Genomic DNA, 24598 nt, shown 5'->3' on the forward strand with positions numbered 1-24598 from the left:
GAGAGCTCTGCATGAGCCTTTCCTAGAGAGAAATCAGTCTCTGTCTCTCTTAGACCGACCCCTCAGTCACAGCATGGTGCTGTGATTTTGCCAAGAGGCAGGGGTGGGTCTGGGGGAAGATGGACGGTGCTTCCAAAAGGCTAAATTTTAGTCTCAAAGGTTTCTGATTGCGGACACATAGGTGATATCTAACTTGCTTTTGTTTAGCCTTGAATATTTTCAAATATAATCTTCAATATTTCTGTTACAATATTGTAGCTTGCTTCTGTTTATAAAAATAATGCAGCATTTGAAAAAAAATTGGAGAACATAGAAAAATAAAGATGAAGATAATAATCTGTAGTAATCTTCCCACCCAGATGTAACATGTTAACATGTTGGTGGATTTCCTTATGTTTATTTTTTTCAGTGTATTTATACTTTTGTGTGTTGTGTGTGTGTGTTTGTGAGACGGAGTCTCACTCTGTCACCTAGGCCGGAGTGCAGTGGCGTGATCTCGGCTCACTGCAAGCTCCGCCTCCTGGGTTCACACCATTCTCCTGCCTCAGCCTCCCTAGTAGCTGGGACTACAGGCACCCACCACCACACTCGGCTAATTTTTTGTATTTTTAGTGGAGACGGGGTTTCACCGTGTTAGCCGGGATGATCTCAATCTCCTGAACTCGTGATCTGCCTGCATCGGCCTCCCAAAGTGCTGGGATTACAGGCGTGAGCCACTGCGCCCGGCCTGTATTTATATATAAGTTGGGAGGCTGGGCACTCATGCCAGAGCTTTGGAAGGCGAAGGTGGCAGGAAAGTTTGAGGCTAGGAGTTCAAGACCAGCCAGGATAACACGAGAGAACCTGTCTCAACAAAAAAAATTTTTTAATTAGTCGAGCTGCAGCCAGCTCTGCCTCTTGTCAGGGCCTGGAGTCCTGGGTGAATCCTGCAGGTTTTTGGTTGCACTGGCCCAGGGAAGAAGTTGGGGTTTGTCAGGTGGGCTCTCCTGGGGGTCCTCTAGTGGCAGAAGTGAGTAGGGGATTATCCGAGGCATCTGGAGATGCATGTCCCTCAGTTTCCCTGTGCCTCCCTTTCTGAGTAGGTGTACAAATGAGTGACCTAGGCCAAGAAGTGAGTTGCCACAGTGAAATGGGTTGGTTTTTGTCTTTGATGCTTCGGGTCTGGGCCCCTTGCATTTGCAGCCTGTTGTGACAGACACAGGGAGCTCTATGTGCCAGCCTGTGGCTGCCCTGATGTTGGGTGTCCTGGGGGTGGCGAGGCTCCTGCAGTCTCATCCGGGGAGGGGGTGTGCTGTGCTGAGCACTCTATCCCTGAATATAGTTTATTTTTTCTACATTTGAATTCTGTTATAGATTTATGTAAAAATACATTCTCTTTTTGAAGAATGAAAAAGTTCACATCTTAAAAAAAAAATTAGCTGGGCAGGCCAGGCGAGGTGGGTCAAGCCTGCACTTGGGGAGGCTGAGTGGGCAGATCACGTGAGGCCAAGAGTTTGAAACCAGTCTGGCCAACATGGTGAAACCCTGTCTCTTTCTGGCTAAAAATACAAAAATTATCCAGGTGTGGTGGTGGATGCCGGTCATCCTAGCTACTTGGGAGGCTGAGGAGGAGAATCACTTGAACCCAGGAGGCAGAGGTTGCAGTGAGCCAAGATCACACCCCTGCACTCCAGCCTGGGCGGCAGAGGAAGACTCCATCTCAAAAAAAAAAAAAAAAAAAAAAATTAGCTAGGGCTAGTGGCACATGCCTGTAGTCCTAGCTACTTGGAAGGCTGAGGTAGGAGGATCTCTTGAGTCTGGAAGGTTGAGGCTGCAGTGAGCCATGAATGCATCACTTCATTCCAGCCTGGGTGACAGAATGAGACCCTGGTTCAAAAGTGAAATAAAACAACATTGGAAGCATATTTCTTTTGCCCTTGATTTGCCCTTTTTCACTTAACATTATATGGTGAATCTTTGTGAGAATGTATTAATGCATTCCTTTTATAAAATTTTTACATAAAAAATTAAATTCAGAAAAGAAAAATACTATATATTGACACCATTTTTCCAAGTTATTAAATATGTTTTGAGAAAACATTTTGCGCCGGGCGCAGTGGCTCACATCTGTAATCCTAGCGCTTTGGGAGGCCGAGGTGGGTGGATCACCTGAGGTCAGGAGTTCGAGACCAGCCTCGCCAACATGGCAAAACCCCATGTCTACTAAAAATACAAAAATTGGCTGGGTGCGGTGGCTCACGCCTGTAATCCCAGCACTCTGGGAGGCCTAGGCGGGTGGATCATGAGGTCAGGAGTTTGAGACCAGCCTGGCCAATATAGTGAAACCCCGTCTCTACCAAAAATACAAAAAATTAGCCAGGCGTGGTGGCGGCACTTGTAATCCCAGCTACTTGGGAGGCTGAGGCAGGAGAATTGCTTGAACCCAGGAGCAGAGGTTGCAGTGAGCCAAGATCGTGCCATTGCACTCCAGCCCAAACGACAGTGTGAAACTCTGTCTCAAAAAAATAAAAAATAAAAAATAATCTGGCGAGGTGGCAGGCACCTGTAATCCCAGCTACTCTGGAGGCTGAGGCAGGAGACTCACTTGAACCCAGGAGGCAGAGGTTGCAGTGAGCTGAGATCGTGCCATTTTACTCCAGCCTGGACTACAGACCATGACTCCGTTTAAAAAAAAAAAAAAAAAAGAAAGAAAAGAAAAGAAAAAACATTTTGCCTGTTTGTTTCCTTCCATTCTCAAAGTATAATCAGAGATCTAATTCTGTTCATCTTGCCTAAATGGATAAAATTAATATTATCACCTCCATTTTACAGAGGAAGTTGAGACTCAAAAATGGAGTGATTGGGCCTGGCGTGGTGGCTCACGCCTGTAATCCCAGCACTTTGGGAGGCCAAGGCGGGCGGATCACCTGAGGTCGGGAGTTCGAGACCAGCCTGGCCATCATGGTGAAATGCTGTCTCCACTAAAAATACAAAAAAATTAGCTGGGCGTGGTGGCACGCGCCTGCTTGAACCTGGGAGGTGGAGGTTGCACTGAGCAGAGATCGCGCCGTTGCACTCCAGGCTGGGTGACAGAGCCAGACTCTGTCTCCAAAAAAATTAAAATTTAAATTAAAAAAAAATGAAGTGATTTACTCAAAATCAAGTAGCTAGCAGCCCTCGGAAGGCAGGACTACACACCTCAGGCCTTGTGAATCTAGGTTAGTGGTGCGGGGGAGGGCACACACACAAGCCTGCTGCCCCTACCCCATTGCAGTTAGACAATGCCAGCTGTGGTTTAAGTTCTGAGAATCAAGATGGATTTAAACTGAATGAAGTTAATTTGGGTGGACTTCATGGAAGCAGCAGGTTTCATGTAGGATCGAGAAAAGGTTTGTCAAATTCATAGGTACATTAGGCACCCAACCCTACTGACTCCCGGGCTAATAATAATAACTGGCCTTTGTCGTGCGGCAAGCCCCTTACTAAGGCTTTGAATACTCCTTATGTTAGTTAATCCTCACACCCAACTGTATGAAGCACGGTTATTTTCACCGATTTAAAATGAAGAAACAGAAGTACAGAGAGGGAAAGTGACCATCTCAGGGTCGCACAGCTAGTGAGTACCAGGGCAGAGACTTGAACTCGGTCCGCCCGGCCCCAGAGCGAGACCCGCCACTACCTCCACGCACCCTCCCTGCCTGGGTGATATGGCTGAGCAGCAGGCGGAGGCTTTGTACCCCCAGCTGCGGAGAGCAGGGACTCCCAGGCACGATGGGCCCCGCCCGCACTGGTGGTGTGCGGAGGACGCGCAGGTCTCGCTGGGATGACCCGGGCGGGGGGGCTGTGCGACAACGGCCTGGCGGGACAGGGCGCCTGGAGCCCGTTTCCACCGCCGCACAGTCCTCAGGATTCCCGAAGAGGTAAAATAGATATAAAAAAAACCCCGGATTCCCCGGAGTATTCGGCATCCCAGCCGCCGGTCCTCAGCCACAGTATATTGATTCTTCTTTGATTCTGAAATAAATTGCATCAAGAAAGAGTATCAGGGCTGGGCACGGTGGCTCATGCCTGTAATCCCAGCACTTTGGGAGGCCGAGGAGGGCGGATCACGAGGTCAGGAGATCGAGACCATCCTGGCTAACACGGTGAAACCGCGTCTCTACTAAAAAAAGAAAAAAAAATTAGCCGGGCGTGGTGGCGGGCGCCTGTAGTCCCAGCTACTCGGGAGGCTGAGGCAGGAGAATGGCGTGAACCCGGGAGGCGGAGCTTGCAGTGAGCCGAGATCGCGCCACTGCCCTCCAGCCTGGGCGACAGAGGGAGACTCCGTCTCAAAAAAAAAAAAAAGAAAGAAAGTATCAGACTTGCAATCAAGAGATACAGCCCGAGTTCTAGTCCTACCCCTGCCACTATCTGACTGTGTGACCTTGGGCCAGTCGCTTCCCCTCTCTGGGCCGCGGAGGTTAAAACTGGCCCTTTCCCCCGTCTCTGCAGCTCACATCCCCCTGCGACGTGGCCGCCTGGCCGCCGAGCTTTCGGGGTGCCGGGAAGCACGAGCTGCGCGCAGGTCGCGGGGTCCGCGGGTGGCGGCCCACTCTGCTCCTGCCCGACGCCCAGCTTGGGGTGCCGTTCGTTGAAAAGGCTCCGGGATCCTGCGGAGACTCAGCCCCGCCCCACTGCCCTTCGGCATGAAGGTCTGCACAAGGTCAGGGAGGATCTTGCATTCCTCCCTCCGTCCCTGTTCCCTGGGGCAGCTCACGTGAATGGGCACCCATCCTCCAACCTGATAGCGCTCCTCGGCAGCCCTCGGTTCATCCCCCATAGGGCCGCGGGTGAGCGTTGTCAGGCACAGCCCTGCTCACCCTTTTCGTTCTTTTTTTTTTTTCTTTTTCTTTTTTGAGGCTCTGCCTCAAAAAAGTGGCGCGATCTCGGCTCACTGCAACCTCCCCCTCCGGGGCTTAGGCGATTCTCGTGCCTTAGCCACCTGAGTAGCTGGGACTACAGGCCTGCGCCACCACGCCCGGCTAATTTTTGTATTTTTAGCAGAGACGGGGTTTCACCATTTGTTGGCCAGGCTGGTCTTGAACATCTGACCTCAGGCGATCCACCCGCCTCCGCCGCCCAAAGTGCTGGGAATACAGGCATGAGCCACCGCTCCCAGCCCTGCTGGTCCCTTTCGAAGGAAACCTTCGCTGGCTCCCTAGTGCCCTGGAATAACACTGAAACCCCTTAGAACGGTGGAGAAGGCCTATCTCCATCTGCCCCAACATCATTCCCCAGTTTCGCGTTCTTCCCTCACCTTAAGGAAGTGCTTAGAGATGTTTAAAGCAGAGGTTCAGGAGTCTACCAGTTCCTAGCTATGTGACTTTAGGCCAGTTGCTGCTTATTGCTAAACCTTGATTTCCACATCCTTAAAATGGGGGTGGCAGCACACATTCCGCAGGACAGGCTGAGGATTAAGTGAGTCACTTAGCATAGTTCCTGGAACACACTCAACTCACCCTAAGTGCTTGTTATTATAATTCTCAGCCCACATTTGGCTACCACCTCCTACTTCCTCAAGCTTGTCATTGTCTTTCCCTACATTGTGCCTCCATGCATACCTGGAAAGCCCTTCCTCTTCTCTTCCCCACCCTGTAGGTTCTTACACACCCTTTAAAGCCCAAATCAAAGGCCATTGCCTGTGAAGACTTCTACCCTTCCTGCCAACAGGGTAAAGAGTTCTTCGTCCTCTATCTGCTCATCATCACCTAGGGACCACACTCAGCATCACACATGGTGGACAGCTGGCCTTAAGTGCCTCCTGCCAACCTCAAAGGAAGAGGCTGGGGCACGAAATATAATTTGAAGAGTTTACTTGAGTCAAAGTGAGGACAGCTGCTGAGAAGACTCAGAATCAAGTAACCTCAGATATGAGCTCCATTTGGCCTTTGTTACATACAAGCAGGTGTTTAAACATATATATGTGTGTGTATATGTATATTTCCTCCCACCTCAGCCTCCCTAGTAGCTAGGGACTACAGACACGCACCACCATACCCAGCTAATTTTAATTTTTAATTATTTTTTTTTTTTTTGTAGAGACAAAGTCTCATTATGTTGCCCCGGCTGTTCTCGAACTCCTGGGCTCAAGGGATCCTCCTGCCTCAGCCTCCCAAAGTGCTGGGATTACAGGTGTGAGCCACTGTGACTGGTCACAAGCAGGTTTCTTTGTTTCATTTTGTTTTGAGACGGGGTCTCACTCTGTTGCCCAGGCTGGAGTGCAGTGGCATGATCTCGGCTCACTGCAGCCTCAAACTGTTGGGCTCAAGCAATCCTCCCACCTCAGCCTCCTAAGTAGCTGGGACCACAGGCATGAGCCACCACGCCCTGCTAATTTTTTATTTCGTTGTAGAGACGGATTTTGCCATGTTGCCCAGGCTCACAAGCAGGTTTCTAAAGACAAAAAAAGAATAGGGAGAGGGCTATTACAGAGTTGTGTGTCAGGAATTCTCATTGGTTTACAGAAATAACATTGGTTCGTGATTGGCCTGGCAAGCAGTTTTAAGAGATGAATACATAGCTTAAAGTGGGATGTAGGACTGATTACTGTCTCATTTATTAATTTAAAAGGACTTGAATTGCCCAGATGAAAGTTCTTTTCTCGACTGGGCGCGGTGGCTCACACCTGTAATCCCAGCACTTTGGGAGGCCGAGGCGGGCGGATCACGAGGTCAGGAGATCAAGACCATCCTGGCTAACACAATGAAACCCCGTCTCTACTAAAAAATACAAAAAATTAGCCGGGCGTGGTGGCGGGCTCCTGTAGTCCCAGCTACGCGGGAGGCTGAGGCAGGAGAACGGCGTGAACTGGAGAGGCGGAGCTTGCAGTGAGCCGAGATCGCGCCACTGCACTCCAGCCTGGGCGACAGAGCAAGACTCCGTCTAAAAAAAAAAAAAAAAAAGAAAGAAAGTTCTTTTCTCACCCCTAATAGGATGGAGTAGACTACATAGCTCCACCTATTTTGGCTCCTGTGAAAAATATTGAGCCTGAATCTAATGAGGCCTATAAGAACTAGCTTCAGTTACGAAAAGTTCAGGGGATAGAGGAACACGTTAAACAACACACAAAGAAGCAATCAGACAAAGCCAGAATGTGAAACAGTTTATAAGACAACTGCCATAATCTCTTAAAAGCCAATGTTGTAAAAACAAAAAAAAGTAATGGGGAGGAGGTTCTAGATTTAAAGAGACCTAATAGTCTAACAAGCCAAATATAAGATGTGATTCTTGATTATATCTTGATTTATTACTATAAAAAAATAAGGACCACGTTTTTATTTTTATCATATTTATTTATTTATTTTGAGACAGGGTCTCACTCTGTTGCCCAGGCCGAAGTGCAGTGGTGTGATCCTAGCTCACTGCAAGCTCAAATTCCTAGACTCAAGCCATCCTCCCTCTTCAGCCTCCCCACAGCTGGGACTATAGGTGCAAGACATCATACCTGGCCATTTTTTTTTTTTTATTTTAGTAGAGATGACATCTCACTACATTGCCCAGGCTGGCCTGGAACTCCTAGCTTCAAGCCACCTTCCCACCTTGACTTCCCAAAGCACTGAGATTACAGGTGTAAGCGACTATACCTGGCCCACCATGCTTTAGACAATGGGGAAATTTCACTATGAACTTGGTATTAGATGATATAAGAAAATTATTGCTAATTTTGTGAGACGTGTTAAGTGTATTGTTATGGAAGAGAATGATCTAATTTTTGGAAATACATGCTGAAGTGTTTAGGGTTGAAGTGTTAGAATATCTGTAATTAGCTTTAAAATGCTTTAGCCACAGATTTTATATATAGTGAGATGGAGAAAACAGTAAAATGTTGACAATTGTTGCTATGTGATTGATGTATAGGTATTTGGTTTATTGTTTTTTTTTATTTTTCTGATATTTTCAAAAGAAAAATTTTCTTTCCCTTTTTTTTGTTATTGTTGTTGAGACAGGGTTTCAACTCCTGGACTCAAGCAATCTTCCTGCCTCAGCCTCCCAAAGTGTTGGGATTACAGGCGTGAGCCACTGCACCTGGCCCAAAATAAAAAGTTTTTTAAAAAACACTTCTAGGCTGGGCACGGTGGCTCACGCCTGTAATCCCGGCACTTTTGGAGGCCGAGATGGGCGGATTACGAGGTCAGCAGATCGAGACCAATCTGGCTAACATGGTGAAACCCCGTCTCTACTAAAAATACAAAAAATTAGCCAGGCGTGTTGGTGGGTGCCTGTAGTCCCAGCTACTCGGGAGGCTGAGGCAGAATGGCGTGAACCTGGGAGGCGGAGCTTGCAGTAAGCAGAGATCGCCTCACTGCACTCCAGCCTGGGGGACAGAGTGAGACTCCGTCTCAAAAAAAGAAAAAAAAGAAAAAGCACTTCTTCAGTGCTCTAATAGCAAATTTGGGGCCCTCATTAATATCACAATATGGCTTATGCATGTAAATCCCAGTACTTTGGGAGGCCGAGGCGGGCAGATCACGAGGTCAGGAGCTCGAGACCAGCCTGACCAACATGGTGAAACCCCGTCTCTACTAAAAATACAAAAATCAGCTGGGCATGGTGGCGCGCGCCTGTAAACCCAGCTACTCAGGAGGCTGAGGCAGGAGAATCACTTGAACCTGGGAGGCGGAGGTTGTAGCGAGCCAAGATCGTGCCACTGCATTCCGGCCTGGAAGACAGAGCAAGGCTCCGTCTCAAAAAAAAGAGTTATAGACTACCCTGGCCAACATGGTGAAACCCTGTCTCTATTAAAAATACAAAAAGTAGCCAGGCGTGGTGACGCATACCTGTAATCCCAGCTACTTGGGCGGCTGAGGCAGGAGAATCCCTTGAACCCGGGAGGCAAAGGTCACAGTGAGCCAAGATCGTGCCGCTGCACTCCAGCCTGGGCGACAGAGCAAGACTCTATCTCGAAAAAAAAAAAATTACAATATATTGCTGGCATACATCACCTCCATACACGGAATCACAATATATGGAGGTGATGTACGCTAGTAGGTCTTGCCATTCAGATGACAGATTATGGGCTCCTGGGGATAGCAGCTAGGTTTAGATCAACTATATTTATCTCAGAGTGTCCAGTACATAATAAATATTCAACAAATACTCATTGAGGCTGGGCACGGTGGCTCACTCCTATAATCCTAGCACTTTGGGAGGCCAAGGCAGGGAGATTGCTTGAGACCAGGAGTTTGAGACCAGCCAGGGTAACACGGAGAAACACTTTTTCTACAAAAAATTAAAAAATTAGCCAGGCATGGTGGCATGTGCCTGTAGTCCCAGCTACTTGGGAGGCTGAGGTGGGAGAATTGCTTGAGCCTGGGAGGTTGAGGCTGCAGTGAGCCGATATTGTGCCACTACTCTCTAGCCTCAGTGACAGACAGAGACCCTGTCTCAAAAACAACAACAGCAACAACAACAAAACCAAAGCAAATGCTCATTGAAAGAATGAAGACTGCATTGCTAGAGTGCATGGTTCATTAGTAAACTTATTCTTAGGAATCTCTGAATGCAAAATGATAATGGGAAATGTTTTTCCAGCCCTTACTGTGTCCCAAGCTTGGTGCAAAGCCCTTCATATGCATTGTCTCATGTAATCCTTACAGTGATCCTATAAGGTAAAGAAAATACTAGTCTCATTTTACCCCTGAGAAAACAGGTACACAGAGAGGTGAAGGAGCTTGCCCCTGCATTATTCCATTAGTAATGGCAGAAGAAGCAGTTGGTTCTCACCCTCACACTCCATTGGCTTGTACCTTTCTTGTATCATCTGTAAATCAAAGAAAATGACCAAGGCAGGTATCAATCATTTTAGGAAGAGGTTTACTTGCCAAAGTTAAGGACGCAAGCCTGAGAGAAGGATCTATGCCTTTCTCCAAAGATGATTTTGAGGGCTTCAATATTTAAAAAGAGAAAGTGTGGATATTGGGGGAATGCACAATTTTCATGTGAGAGGGGTGTAGAGGAAATCGTCCTTCATTCCTTGACTGGATCAGTGAATCTGCATTTTTACATAAGATAATGTAAACAATAGGGCAAAGGAAGCAATCTGATACGCATTTGTTTCAGAGGAGCAGAGAGTTGACTTTGAGTTCTGTCCTATGTCATGCACCTGTGATGATAAGCTGTCAATTTACATTGCCAGGGTGAAATTCAACAGAATTGTTTTAGGGTAAAGATCTTGGGGCCCGCCAGGAATTTCCTTGTGGGCAGACTGTGAGGGAGGTATGTAGCTTTTTATCTTTTTTTTTTTTTTTCTTCTCTTTGTAGCCATCTTATTTATGAACCAAATGGGGAGGCAGGTTTGCATGACCCAGTTCCTAGCTTGACTTTTCCCTTTGGCTTAGAGAGTTTGGGATTCCAAGATTTATTTTCCTTTCACACATCCTGTCAGCATAAGGAATTATGTGCGTGTACCTGTCTTAGCACCTGTGTCTACTAGACTAGGAGCCCTTCAAAAGTGAAAGGAAGAAAGCACATCCACACAAAACCTTGTGCACAAATGTTTGTAGCAGCATTATTCATAATAGCGAAAATGTGTCAGCAACCCAAACAACCATACTTGGTGACTGGATAGACAAAATGTGGTAGATTCATACATTGGAATGTTATTCAGCCATAACAGGGAATGAAGTTCTGATATATGCTATAACGTCGATGAACCTTGAAAACATTATGCTATGTGAAAGAAGCCAGTCTCAAATGACCACATATTATGATTCCATTTATATGAATGTCCAGAATAGGCAAATTCATAGAGACAGAAATTAGATTCGTGTTTACTTAGGACTTGGGGCTGGTGCAGGGGGGATAGAAAGACTAAGGGATAATAGCTAAAAGGCGCAAGGATTTGTTTTTTGTTTGTTGTTGTTGTTGTTTTTAAAACAGAGTCTCTCACTCTATCCTCCAGGCTGGAGTGCAGTGGTGCCATCATGGCTCACTGCAGCCTCGGACTCCTGGGCTCAAGTGATCCTCTCGCCTCAGTCTCCCAAGTAGCTGAGACTGCAGTCATGTACCACTATACCAGGCTAATTTTTTAATTTTCAGTTGAAATGAGGTTGGGTGGTTTTTTTTTTTAAATTACAAAATACTTTATTGCCAAAAATGCTAACAATCATCTGAGCCTTTAGCAAGTCGTACACTTTGTATTTTTGCTTTTATTATAATTTTTCATGGACACATAATAATTGTACATTTTTATGGTAAACAGCGTGATATTTCAATACATATATACAATGTGTAATCATCAAATCAGGGTAATTAGCATATCTGTCACTTCAAATATTTATCATTTCTTTGTGTTGGGACAGGGATTCTTTTTGAGGTGATGAAAATATTCTAAAATCTATTGTATGGCGGGGCACTGTGGCTCACGCCTGTAATCCCAGCACTTTGGGAGGCCGAGGAGGGTGGATCACCTGAGGTCAGGAGTTCGAGACCAGCCTGGCCAACATGGTGAAACACTGTCTCTACTAAAAATGTAAAAATTAGCCGGATGTGGTGGCAGGCGCCTGTAATCCCAGCTACTAGGGAGGCTGAGGCAGGAGAATTGCTTAAATCCAGGAGGCGGAGGTTGCATTGAGCTGAGATCACACCACTGCACTCCAGCCTGGGCGACAAGAGCGAGGCTGTGTCTCAAAATAAATAAATAAATAAATAAAAATTGATTGTAGTGACAGTTGCACAACTCTGTTAATATACTAAAAACAATTGAACTTACATTTTAGATGGGCAAATTATATTGTGTGTGATTATATCTCGGTAAAGCTGAAGAAAAGGAAATATCTAATTCACCAATGAATCTGCCAAGCTAGTTAAATAAATAAAACTAGTGAATGAATAGCTGTTTCCCTTGCAGTTGACAAAAATATGCCCTAGTTCCAAAGTCTAAAATGAATTCCCTTGACTGTCTCAGGGGCATGCTTGCGCCTAGCTCTCGGGAACCCATTAGTGTACTAATAAGAAACCTGATAATTCAGTCAATAATTCCTGAGGTTGTCAGTGCCACTCCGGAAGAAGAGAGAAATGCACAGACTATTTCTTTCGATACAAGCTGTGGGATTGCAGAGCGAGGGGCCGCCAGGATGTTCTGCCTGGAAAAGGGCCCCTGGAGATCTCACTGTGGTCTGTTCCCACTTGGCTAATCTTGAGTCATTTATGTGGGCTTATCTGACTATTCCTGTTTTTCCCCTCACCCTGGACATTCAGAAGGACTGTTGTAGTTAAAGCTCCAGAATAAAGTAACTCCTGAGGTTCTGTGGGAATAATTTCACTGTGAAGGACACAAACACTTCAATGGATGTCAATCACATGTCAGGGAAGGAGTGCTTGTTTAAAATAAAGATTCTTGGGCCCCATTCCTGGAGATTCAAATTTTGTAAGACTAGGATAAGGCCATGGGCTCTGCATTTTAAATAAAGCATTAGGCCAGGTGTGGTGGCTCATGCCTGTAATTCCAGCACTTTGAGAGGATGGCTTGAAGCCAGCAGTTCAAGACCAGCATGGGCAACATAGCAAGACCCCTCTTTCTACAAAAAAAAAAAAAATTTAAATAATTAAAACATAAATAAATAAAGCACCTGAAGTGTTCCTGAAACGGGACTACTGGCCATGTGAGAGACACCGACCTAACTAAAGAATAGACAGGGGAAATTGAACATGTACATTATCTCAGGCATAAAAATGGGTTTGCTTAGGGATCTTAGAGACCATTGAATTGAGTAGTTTTCGTACTGTGTCCACAGGAACTCCTTAGGGCTCCATGGAACACCTGGAGGGGACTGTTGAGTGGTGGAGGGACCGAGGTACAAATGGGTCTACCCCAGCACATGCCCCTTCAACAGCTCCATTTTAATCCATTTTCTATACTGGAGATTGAGTTCTATTGCTTAAAAACCACTAAGCCTGCCCTGTCCCTCCTATGCAAGTGGAGAAACTGAGGCCCGGAGAGGAAAACAGGTTTTCCCAAGGCGATGGCAGAACCAGAACTGATTCCAGGACTCTTATTCCCATCCAGAACCCTTCCCATTAGGGAATTCCAGTTTTTGATACATCCATTCATTTTTGGGTGGCTTTTCCTCTCTGCCTCCAGCAAATCTCACATAAGACAGCAGGGCCTGGACTAGGGTGAGGGGAATGAGGTAACTGCCTCAGGCACAAAATTTTGACAGGTGCAAAAAAATGCAGTAATCAAATAATATTTTAATACAATATTTTAAAAATCAAAATTAATGCAAAAAGGTATGATGAACAAAATGCCCAAATTTTAAATAAAAGCAGGATCAGTAGTTCTAATTTTTCCTTTTGCCCTGAGCTCCAAGATGGCTATATTCTGCACTATTATTCACCCTGCCTTTATTTAAAATTTGGGTATTTGAGTCATTGTGTGTTTTTTCATATTAATTTTCATCTTATAAAATATTGTGGCTGGTCGCAATGGCTCACACCTGTAATCCTGGCACTTTGAGAGGCTGAGGTGGGAGGATCACTTGAGTCCAGGAGGTTGAGGCTGCAGTGAGCCATGATCGTGCTACTGCACTCCAGCCTGGGCAACAGAGTGAGACCCTGTCTCAAATGAAATAAAATATTGCATTAAAGTATTATTTATCTAGATTACTGAGATGATGTTGTTGTTGTGGTTTGAGACAGGGTCTTGCTCTATCACCTTTGTTGTTGTTGTTTGAGACAGGGTCTCGCTCTATCACCCAGGCTGGAGTGCAGTGTTGCAATCTTGGCTCACTGCAGCCTTGACCTCCCAGGCTCAAGCGATCCTCCCACCTCAGGCTCCCAAATAGCCGGGATTACAGGTACATGCCACAATGCCTGGCTAATTTTTAAGATTTTTTGTTTAGCCGGGGGTGGTGGCACGTGCCTGTAATCCCAGCTACTGGGGAGGCTGAGGCAGGAGAATCGCTTGAACCCAGGAGGCAGAAACTGCAGTGGGAGCCGAAATCACGCCACTGCACTCCACACTCCAGCCTGGGTGTCAGAGAGAGACTCCATCTCAAAAAAAAAAAGAAAAAAATATTTGTAGAGATAGCATCTCGCTATGTTGTCTAGATTGGTTTTGAACTCCTGGGCTCAAGATATTCTTCCTCCTCAATCTCCCAAAGTGTTGGGATTACAGTTGTGAGCCACTGTGCTCGCTCTGAGTTGGTGTTTTCTTTTGTTTTTTGTTTGTTTGTTTGTTTTTTGTCTTAATTTAGTGCCAATGGCAAGTGCCTCACTTGCCTTACCCTTACCTGGGCCCTATAAAACAGGTCTTTTGGCAGACAGCTAAGTAACGCCCCATTGCCCTCTGGGAATCCCTCCAGATCCTATCACTTCGTTTGTCTGACAGAATTGATGTTTACTTGGTCTCAATGTGACATTGCTTTTGTCACCTGACCTGCAGAGAGGTTTGCATTTTACAGTGGATATTTGTTTTGCTGACCCAGCGAAAGTCTCCCTTCTGGCAACAGCAACCATATGTTGCTTGGGAAGCCTCCCCTCCCCATGTTCAGAGCTGACTCCAGCCCATAGGGAAAGGTGGGCCCATGACTCAGCTCTGCCAGTCAGACCCCCTGGTCACAGTGATGGGCCAGGAATAGATATGTGACTCAGTTACAGCCAATGAGACTCAATTCTGGGGATATGGTCCGAACTTTGGGGAGGGAAACTTTCTTTTTTTTTTTTTTTTTGAGACAGAGTCTCGCACTGTTGCCTGGGCTGGAGTGCAGTGGTGTGATCTCAGCTCACTGCAACCTCCGCCTCCCAGGTTGAAGCTATTCTACTGCCTCAGCCTCCTGAGTAGCTGGGATTATAGGCGCCTGCCACCATGACCAGCTAATTTTTTATATTTTTAGTAGAGATGGGGTTTCACTATGTTGGCCAGGCTGGTCTGGAATGCCTGACCTCGTGATCCACCCCTGTCGGCCTTCCAAAGTGCTGAGATTACAGGTGTGAGTCACTGCACCCGGCCAAACTTTCTCTTTTATCTGTAGTAGCTGAGAAGTTAGGATATAAGCCACCATTGTGGACCTGAGCCTTTTTGTGACAGGAGCTCCCACAGACACAGCAGGATTGAGTGATGGAGACAGGGAGGAGACATCCTGATGATACTGCTTGAGCCACTGGGTCTACTGTGTACAAAGAAGTCTACCCTCTGGACTTAATGGGTGCATGGGCCAACTCTTGCCTAAATGGTTTGAGTTACGCCTCTGTCACTTAGATGGTTCATTCCCTCTCACCTGCATTCTGGCCAGGTTGGCCCCAGGAGATGTTTAGTGGAGCCCAGCACCTATCACTAGAGTTCTGCCCTAAGTATCTTCAAGTGGCCAGGTGCGGTGGCTCATGCCTGTAATCCCAGTGCTTTGGGAGGCCAAGGTGGGCGAATCACCTGAGGTCAGGAGTTTGAAACCAGCCTGGCCAACATGGTGAAACCCCATCTCTACTAAAAATACAAAAATTTCCCGGGCGTGGTGGTGGGCACCTGTAATCACAGCTACTAGGGATGCTGAGGCAGGGGAATTTCTTGAACCCAGGAGGCGGAGGTTGCAGTGAGCCAAGACCATGCCATTGCACTCCAGCCTGGGCAACACGAACGAAACTCCATCTCCAAAAAAAAAAAAAACTTCAAGTGGTGGCATTTAAATTACCCTTCATTCAAGGGCAGCCTTACAAGGCAAAAGGCATTGATAGCAACAACTCTAGAAAGCATGACTGAGCATTGGTGCCATTGTCAGGTCCTGTAATACATATTTACACATCCACTTATTTGTCCTCTAACAACTCTGTGAAGTAGGTTACACTATTACTTGTAGGCTGAAATACAGTTTATCTACCCCCAAGCTAACTGTCCCAAATCACCAACCAGAGGCAAAGAGAGGACACTGGTTGTGCTGGGCGAGATGGCTCACGCCTGTAATCCCAGCACTTTGGGAGGCCGAGGTGGGCGGATCACGAGGTCAGGAGTTCAAGACCAGCCTGGCCAACATGGAGAAACCCCATCTCTACTATAAATACAAAAAAAATTAGCCGGGCGTGGTGGCGCGTGCCTGCAGTCCCAGCTACTCAGGAGGCTGAGGCAGGAGAATCGCTTGAACCCGGGAGGTGGAGGTTGCAGTGAGCCAAGATCGCACCACTGCACTCTAGCCGGGGCAACAGAGTGAGACGCTGTCTCAAAAAAAAAAAAAAAAAAAAAAAAAAAGAGAGGACACTGGTTAACCAGCAGATGAGCCTGCTTTCCCTCATTTTGTCTCTTTTGTAAACGGATAGTTTTTCTAGGAGGCAGACTCTTTCTAAGAACAGCTGCGCTGGGCGTTAGCAAACTCCTATCTATACACTTTCAGCATCTTGAAATAAAGGACCTTATGCCAGTTGCCTTTGGCCTGGGAATGGGTCAGCACCTAGGGTAGCTCAGGCCTTCATGATTGGCAGGTGGACTGACCAACTGACTGGGGCCCCTTTGCCATCTGCACTCATTTTGACTGTGGCCATTTTTGTAATCTATGCTCATTTATTCATTCAACAGGCTGGGCATGGGGGCCTCTCTAATCCCAGCACTTTGGGAGAATGAGGCAGGAGACTCACTTGAGCCCAGGAGTTCAAGGCTGCAGTGAGCTATGATTGTACCACTGCATTCCAACCTGGGAGACAAAGTGAGACCTTGTCTCTAAAAAACATTTTTTTGTTTATTTTCAGATGGAATCTTGCTCTGTCTCCCAGGCTGGAGTACAATGGCACCATCTCTGCTCACTGCAACCTCCGTGACCTGGGCTCAAGCAATTCTCCTGCCTTAGCCTCCGGAGTAGCTGGGATTACAGGCGCCCACCACCATGCCCAGCTAATTTTTGTATTTTTAGTAGAAATGGGGTTTCACTATGTTGGCCAGGCTGGTCTCGAACTCCTGACCTCAGGTGATCCGCCCTCCTCAGCCTGCCAAAGTGCTGGGAATACAGGCATGAGCCACCGCGCCCAGCCAAAATTTTTTTAAATAAATAAATATTCATTCAACAAGCATTGATTGAGTGCCAGCTATATGCTAGGTACCATTTCAAGCACTGGGGATACAACAGTGAACAACACTAGGGGCAATGTATACCCCCAGGGAGCTGGTGGTCTTGTCAGAGAGGCACACATTAAGCAAATGGTTGCATGTGCAATTATTTAACCCATTTCCCATTTACCCCCAGAAATGAACACTGGCAACAAGCTGCACTTTTTTTCTAAATGAGAAATGGGTTAATTACAAGTACGATAAGCACTGAGAAGGAAAAGTTCGTGGTGTTAATGGGAGTGTGCAAATGGGTATCCTAAGTCCGTTGACTGTGAGACTAAGCAATTTTCTTCATTTGGCAGGTATGTTTGATTGACAGGGCTAGGGACAGTGTTAGGTGGTGAGTGCTGGTCAAAGAATAGGGAACAGGCTGGGCGTGGTGGCTCATGCCTGTAATCCCAGCACTTTGGGAGGCCAAGGTGGGTGGACCACTGGAGGTCAGGAGTTCGAGATCAGCCTGGCCAACATTGTGAAACCTGGCCCCTACTAAAAATACAAAAATTAGCTAGGTGTGGTGGCTCACGCCTGTAATCCCAGCTACTTGGGAGGCTGAGGCATGAGAATTTCTTGAACCTGGGAGGCAGAGGCTGCAGTAAGCCGAGATCGTGCCATTGCACTCCAGCTTGGGCGACAGGAATGAAACCCTGTCTCAAAAAAAAAAAAAAAAAAAAGCTTCTGCACAGCAGAAACTATAACAGAATAAATAGACAACCTACAGAACAGGAGAAACTATTTGTAAACTATGCATTCGAAAAAAGAGCTACTATCCACAATCTATAAGGGGACTTAATAAATTAACAAGCAAAAAACAACTCCATTAAAAAATGGACAAAGGACAGGGCCGGGCATAGTGGCTCACGCCTGTAATTCTAGCTCTTTGAGAGGCTGAGGCTGGTGAATCACCTGAGGTCAGGAGTTTGAGACCAGCCTGGCCAACATGGAGAAACCCTGTCTCTACTAAAAATACAAAAATTAGCTGGGCCTGGTGGCATGCGCCTGTAATCCCAGCTACTCAGGAGGCTGAGGAAGGAGAATTATGTGAACCTAGGAGGCGGAGGTTGCAGTGAGCTGAGATTACGCCACTGCACTCCAGCCTGGGCGACAGATCAAGACTCCGTCTCAAAAAAAAAAAAAAAAAGGCAAAGGACATGAAAAGACACTTCTCAAAAGAAAACATACACACAGCCAACTAGCATATGAAAAAATGCTCAACATCACTAATCAGAGAAACGCAAATCAAAACCATGATGAGATACCAACTTACACCAGTCAGAATGGCTGTTATTAAAAAGTTAAAAAATAGGCTAGTCTGAAGATAGTGAGTTATCTCGATTGTTCACAGCCAGTTACAGATCAAACTCCTTGTTCTTTTTATTTATTTATTTATTTTTTTGAGATGGAGTCTCGCTCTGTCACCCAGGCTGGAGTGCAAGTGGTGCAGTATCAGCTCACTGCAACCTCTGCCTCCCAGGTTCAAGGGATTCTCCTGCCTCAGCCTCCCGAGTAGGTGGGATTACAGGCACCTGCCACCACACCGGGTAAAGTTTGTATTTTTCTAATAAAGACCAGGTTTCACCATGTTGGTCAGGCTGGTCTCGAACTCCTGACCTCAGGTGATCTGGCTGCCTTGGCCTCCCAAAGTGCTGGGATTACAGCCATAAGCCACAGCGCCCGGCCAAACTCCTTGTTCTACTCTTTCCCCCTTCTCACTACTGCACTTGACTGTCTTTAAAAAAAAAGGCAAAAAAATAACAGATGCTAGTGAGGTTGCAGAGAAAAGGGAAAGCTTATACACTGTTGGTAGGAATGTAAATTAATTCAGTCGCTGTGGAAAGCAGTTTGGGGATTTCTTAAAGAACTTAAAACAGAACTATATATCAAAAACAAAATAAATCATTTTATCAAAAAGACATATACACTCACATGTTAATCACAGCACTATTCACAATAGCAAAGACGTGGAATCAACCTAGATGCCCACCAACGGTGGACTGGATAAAGAAAATGTGGTACATATGGCCGGGCGCGGTGGCTCACGCCTGTAATCCCAGCACTTTGGGAGGCTGAGGTGAGCAGATCACCTGAGGTCAGGAGTTCCAGACCAGCCTGGCCAACACGGCGAAACCCCATCTCTACTAAAAATCAAAAATTAGCTGGGCATGGTGGCAGGGACCTATAATCCCAGCTACTTGGAGGCTGAGGCAGGAGAATCACTTGAACCTGAGAGGCAGAGGTTGCAGTGAGCCAAGATGGCACCACTGCACTGCAGCCTGGGAGACAGAGTGCGACTTTGTCTCAAAATAATAATAATAATAATAATAATAATAATAATAATAATAAAATGTGGTACATATACACCATGGAATACTACACAGCCATACAAAAAGAATGAAATCATGTCCTTTGCAGCAACATGGATGGAGCTGGAGGTCATTATCCTAAGCAAGTTAATACAGAAACAGAAAACCAAATAACCACATGTTCTCACTTGTAAGTGGGAGCTAAACTTTGAGTACATAGGGCCTCAAAGATGGAAATGGTAGACACTGAGGATTTACTTGAGAGTGGAGGGTGGGAGGAGGGTGAGGATTGAAAAACTACCTATCCTGTACTATGCTTGTTACATGGGTGATTAAATAATCTGTACACCAAATCCCTCTGACTCACAATTTACGTATATAACAAACCCACACACACATCCCCTGAACCTAAAATAAAAGTTGGAAAGTTGGAAAAAAAAAAAACAAAAAACTTAACCTAAAGTAATCAGAAACAGAAGTAGCCAATAAAGTAGGGACTTGTCTATAAGGTAAACAAACAAAAAAAGAGGCAATTTTATAACTGCGACAAACCAGATAATTTTTAAATTTTGCTCCTGCATTTTCCCAGTAAATACTTGCCTCTGACACTTTGTCATTGAAAAAAAGAAATAAATCTCTCTATTTCACACCATCCCCCCACATTTATGGTCCCAAAATCAAAAGTACCATAATTTATTCATTTTGGTTGTTTTCAGTTCTTCCAACTTAAAAAAATGCTTTTGTCTGTCTCTTAATGGCTAGAGTTTCTCTTGTGTATATATCCAGTCATAGAGTTTTTGGATCATGGAGTATTCCCAAATTGCTCTCAAAAGTTGTAGGGCCTGGGAGCAGTGACTCGAGCCTGCAATCCCAGCACTTTGGGAGGCTGAGGTGGGAGGCCAGGAGTTTGAGAATAGCCTTGGCAATACAGCCAGACCCTATCTCTAAAAAAAAATGTTTTAATGTAAAATAAATAAAATATCATTAAGAACTCATGGATTTAAATACGTTTGATATTTTTCAACCCCTTGCAGTTATTTTCTTTACTGATACTCAAGGAGTCCTGACTGTGACCAATGGGAGTCTCTTTGACACAACTCTATCTTCATTGATTTGTGACACTAGAAAATAGTCTAAGTACATATTGTACATTTTCTGCCTCAAAGCTGGAATTGGCTACTTATTTTTTCAAAGACACCTTGGTTCCTTTTAGTGGAAAATAGTATTTAGAGACCACAGTCTGGGCACTATAAGTGCTCACTATTTGCTAAAGCAGCAGTCCTTAACCTTTTTGGCACCAGGGACCAGTTTTGTGGAAGACAATTTTTCCACAGCTGGGGTGGGGGGGCATGGTTTCAGGATGATTCAAGCACATTACATTTATTGTGCACTTTATTTCTATTATTATTATATTGTAATATGTTCAATTTTCTGCAACTAGACGGTCCCATTTGGGGGTGATGGGAGATAGTGACACCCAAAGTGGGTTGCTTATGTCCAGTCTACTCCGTAATCTTGTTTTGGTTGCTGACACTGCAGAAAACCCTGCTTCACAAGGATATGCTGTTGGAAACAGAAGGAAGCAGGCTTTTCAGTGCTTTTGTGGCAGTCTCAGGATATTCTGCCTTGACTTTAATCCAGAACGTATGGAGATTTGAAGTCCCAAACATACTTTTAAGGCCACCGTCATTTGCCCTCTCAAGCAGTTGATCCGCTTCTAGCATGGACAATGTCAAGTCACTTGGCTTATTCACAAATGGGTCGCGGATCCATTCCTTCCCAGTTCGGGGGTCTTTTGTGGTTGAAAAGTAATGCTCAAACTCTTTTGAAAGCTGAGATAGGTGATCATGCACCAGCTGAGAGAAAGAAGGCACTGGCTCAGTCTCTTTCTTTCAAAAATCTCTGCTAATGCTTGAAACCTATCAGAAATCCCAATGCTCACTCGTCGCCCCCATAATTCCAGTTCGGCTTTGAATGCAGCCACTTTATCTGCCAACTTGAACATAGTGGTCGTTGTCCCCTGAAGTGACAGATTGAGTTCATTGAGCAGGTTGAATATGTCACACGAGTTTTGCAACCCATTCTGTGTCACTGACATATGCTGCCAGTGGTGACTATTTTTCTAAAAGAAATCTCTTGTAACTCAGAAACTCTGGCCAGTGATCTACCTTTAGAAAGCCATTTCACATCTGTGTATAAGAGAAGACATGTGTGCTCTGTGTCCATTTCCTCACAGAGCTGCACAAACAGATGTGAGTTAAGGGCATGTACTATAATGTGGCTGATCATTTTAATTACGTTCTGCAAAATGTTTTTTTTTGTTGTTGTTGTTTTGAGACAGAGTTTCATTCTTGTTGCCCAGGCTGGAGTGCAATGGTGATCTCGGCTCACCACAACTTCCACCTCCTGGGTTCAAGCGATTCTCCTGCCTCAGCCTCCTGAGTAGCTGGGATTATAGGCATGCACCACCACACCCAGCTAATTTTGTATTTTTAATAGAGACGGGGCTTCCCCATGTTGGCCAGGCTGGTCTCGAACTTCCGACCTCTGGAGATCCACCCACCTCAGCCTCCCAAAGTGCTGTGATTACAGGTGTGAACCACTGCGCCTGGCCTACAATGTTGTTAAGTTCAGGTGACATTTCAGCATTTCTCTATGGATAAAACAAGCATTGTTGCCTTGTTGTCAACATTGGTAGACTCGTCAACCTGGATTGCGTACCACGGTGACTCATTAATCCTCTGTAACAATTGTGTCTCAATATCCTCTGCCAGTTCATCAATTTGTCCAGTTGTGGTGCTAGCCAAAAGAGGAACACGTGTCACCTTTTGAACTGCAGCCTCTCCCAAAAGTTCATGACAAATGTCCTTAGCAGCAGGCAGAATCAACTCTTCACCAATAGTAAAGGCTTCTTAGCTTTAGCAATGCAGTTAGCCACTAAGAATGATGCTCTCAGTGCAGACACATTTGATGAAGTGGTGGCCTTCAATAATTGCTTCTGCTCTTCATGTTCACATTCTTTTCTTTTGAAAACTCCAAAAGCTTGTCTTTTGATGCAGGGTGCTTGGCCTCCATGTGGTGAAGCAGTTTTGAAGGTTTCATGGCTTCATTGGATAGCCAGTCGCCACATATTATACAAAGCAGGCTTGGAGAATGTGAATCACGTGTTGCAATGAACCCATAATTTAAGTAGGACTCTTGGTATTTTCTTTTAAGTGCAGCTTTCTTTTTGTGGCAGTCTGAGTCTTCTGCTCTGTCATCATTGGTTCTTTCCGGCTTTTCAAAGAAGCTCTCCAGTGAGATTTTTTTTTTTTTTTTTTTTTTTTTTTACTCATTTTGGCTAGAGTTAGCTTGTGGGCTCACCAAAACTGTGACCAAGGCGAGTGTGCAGTGTGGGAAAGAGGCGCAGATGGAAGCAGTAAATAAAATAATGAGCGGGCCACGTATGGACTAAAATAAGTGTCAGATGCTGACCTAAAGCCTGCCACCAGATGCAGCTTAATTGTCACTTGCTACTCACTGATAGGGTTTTGATATGAGTCTGCAAGCAACTGATTTATTATGGTCTCTGTGCAATCAAACCTCTCTGCTAATGTTAATCTGTATTTGCAGCCGCTCCCCAGTGCTAGCATCGTCACCTCAATTCTACCCCAGATCATCAGGCATTAGGTTCTCATAAGGAGTGCACAACCTAGATCCCTGCCATATGCAGTTCACAATAGGGTTCAGGCTTCTATGAGAATCTAATGCTGCCGTTGATCTGACAGGAGGTGGAGCTCAGGGGGTAATGCAAGTGATGGGGAGCCGCTGTAAATACAGACAAGGCTTTGGTGGCTGCCCGCCGCTCACCTCCTGCTGTGGGGCCCAGTTTCTAACAGGCCACAGACTGGTACCAGTCCATGGCCTGCGAGTTGGGGACCTCTGCACTAAAGGATTGGTCATTGTTTCTAGACCTGAAAACAGTAAACAGAGCTAGGGAATTCACTTAGTTTATTTGTTTTCAGATCGGCTAAATAAAAAATTCATACTGAGAGGCCAGGCACAGTGGCTTATGCCTGTAATCCCAGTACTTTGGAAGGCCGAGGTGGGAGGATTGATTAAGCCCAGGAGTTGAAAACCAGCTTGGTCAATATAGTGAGACCCTATCTGTTAAAAAAAAAATTTAGGCCAGACACGGTGGCTCACACCTGTAATCCCAGCACTTTGGGAGGCCAATGTGGGCAGATCATGAGGTCAGGAGTTCGAGACCAGCCTGACCGACATGGTGAAACCCTGTCTCTACTAAAAATTCAAAAAATTAGCCGGGCATGGTGGCGTGCACCTATAATCCCAGCTACTCAGGAGGCTGAGGCAGGAGAATCGCTTGAACTCAGGAGGTGGAAGTTGCAGTGAGCCAAGATCGCGGCACAGCACTCCAGCCTGGGCGACAGAGTGAGACTCCATCTCAAAAAAAAAAAAAAAAAAAAAATCATACTGAAACCTCTAATACAAACACAGGATTATGCATTTTTTACTTAACCCCTTTCGTCTTTCACTTGTATTTTTCTCCCACACCAAAAGTCCTGGTTCTCAGCAATACCAACAAACTCACTTGCTTTATTACATACTGTATATCCAACAGTCTCAGAATAATACCAAAGCTACTACTAACAATGTGAGACTGAAAACAGGCAGCCCTTTTTAAAAATCAGAGTAAAAAATTCTGAAAATGAAAGTGGAAAGGAACCCCACAGGAAGGGTCTGTGCTGACCCCATGTGACAGTGTGGCCGTTTGCATTACTGCTGGAATTTTGAAGACTACTACATATTCCGTCAGTGTCAGGATTTTGTTCTTCAGTGTGGTACTTTTTTTTTTTTTTTTTTAAGATGGAGTCTCACTCTGTCGCCTGGGTTGGAGTGCAGTGGTGTGATCTTGGCTCACTGCAACCTCCAGCTCCCGGGTTCAAGCGATTCTCCTGCCTCAGCCTCCTGAGTAGCTGGGATTACAGGCATGCGCCACCACACCTGGCTTATTTTTGTATTTTTAGTAGAGACGGGGTTTCACTATGTTGGTCAGGCTGTTCTTGAACTCCTGACCTCGTGATCCGCCCACCTCAGCCTCCCAAAGTGTTGGGATTACAGGCGTGAGCCACCGCACCCGGTAGTGTGGTACACTCTTAAAATCATAGTTCCTGCTGTCTGGGAGTTTACATATGTCTACAGAGTGGAAGAAGCATGAGATTATAGCAGTGTAGGCTACCAGAATGATTGTTGG

At 45.6% G+C, this 24598-nt stretch overlaps 1 protein-coding gene across 6 annotated transcripts in view, besides 2 other annotated features; it reads left to right on the plus strand.

Annotated features, from left to right (window-relative positions):
• The window catches only part of LARP1 (La ribonucleoprotein 1, translational regulator), a 134627-nt gene that overhangs the window by 3974 nt on the left and 106055 nt on the right, over positions 1 to 24598 (plus strand). The gene's annotated exons all lie outside the window — the stretch shown is intronic.
• Positions 3883 to 4526: an enhancer, noted in NCBI's record as "H3K27ac-H3K4me1 hESC enhancer chr5:154070395-154071038 (GRCh37/hg19 assembly coordinates)". NCBI's record gives its function as "activates a minimal SCP1, AML or CMV promoter by ChIP-STARR-seq in primed H9 embryonic stem cells {active_cell/tissue: H9 hESC(primed)}" and the evidence as "EXISTENCE:reporter gene assay evidence [ECO:0000049][PMID:30033119]".
• Positions 9835 to 10346: an enhancer, noted in NCBI's record as "OCT4-NANOG hESC enhancer chr5:154076347-154076858 (GRCh37/hg19 assembly coordinates)". NCBI's record gives its function as "activates a minimal SCP1, AML or CMV promoter by ChIP-STARR-seq in naive H9 embryonic stem cells {active_cell/tissue: H9 hESC(naive)}" and the evidence as "EXISTENCE:reporter gene assay evidence [ECO:0000049][PMID:30033119]".

Source organism: Homo sapiens, chromosome 5, assembly GCF_000001405.40.
Source record: "Homo sapiens chromosome 5, GRCh38.p14 Primary Assembly".
Taxonomy (NCBI): domain Eukaryota; kingdom Metazoa; phylum Chordata; class Mammalia; order Primates; family Hominidae; genus Homo; species Homo sapiens.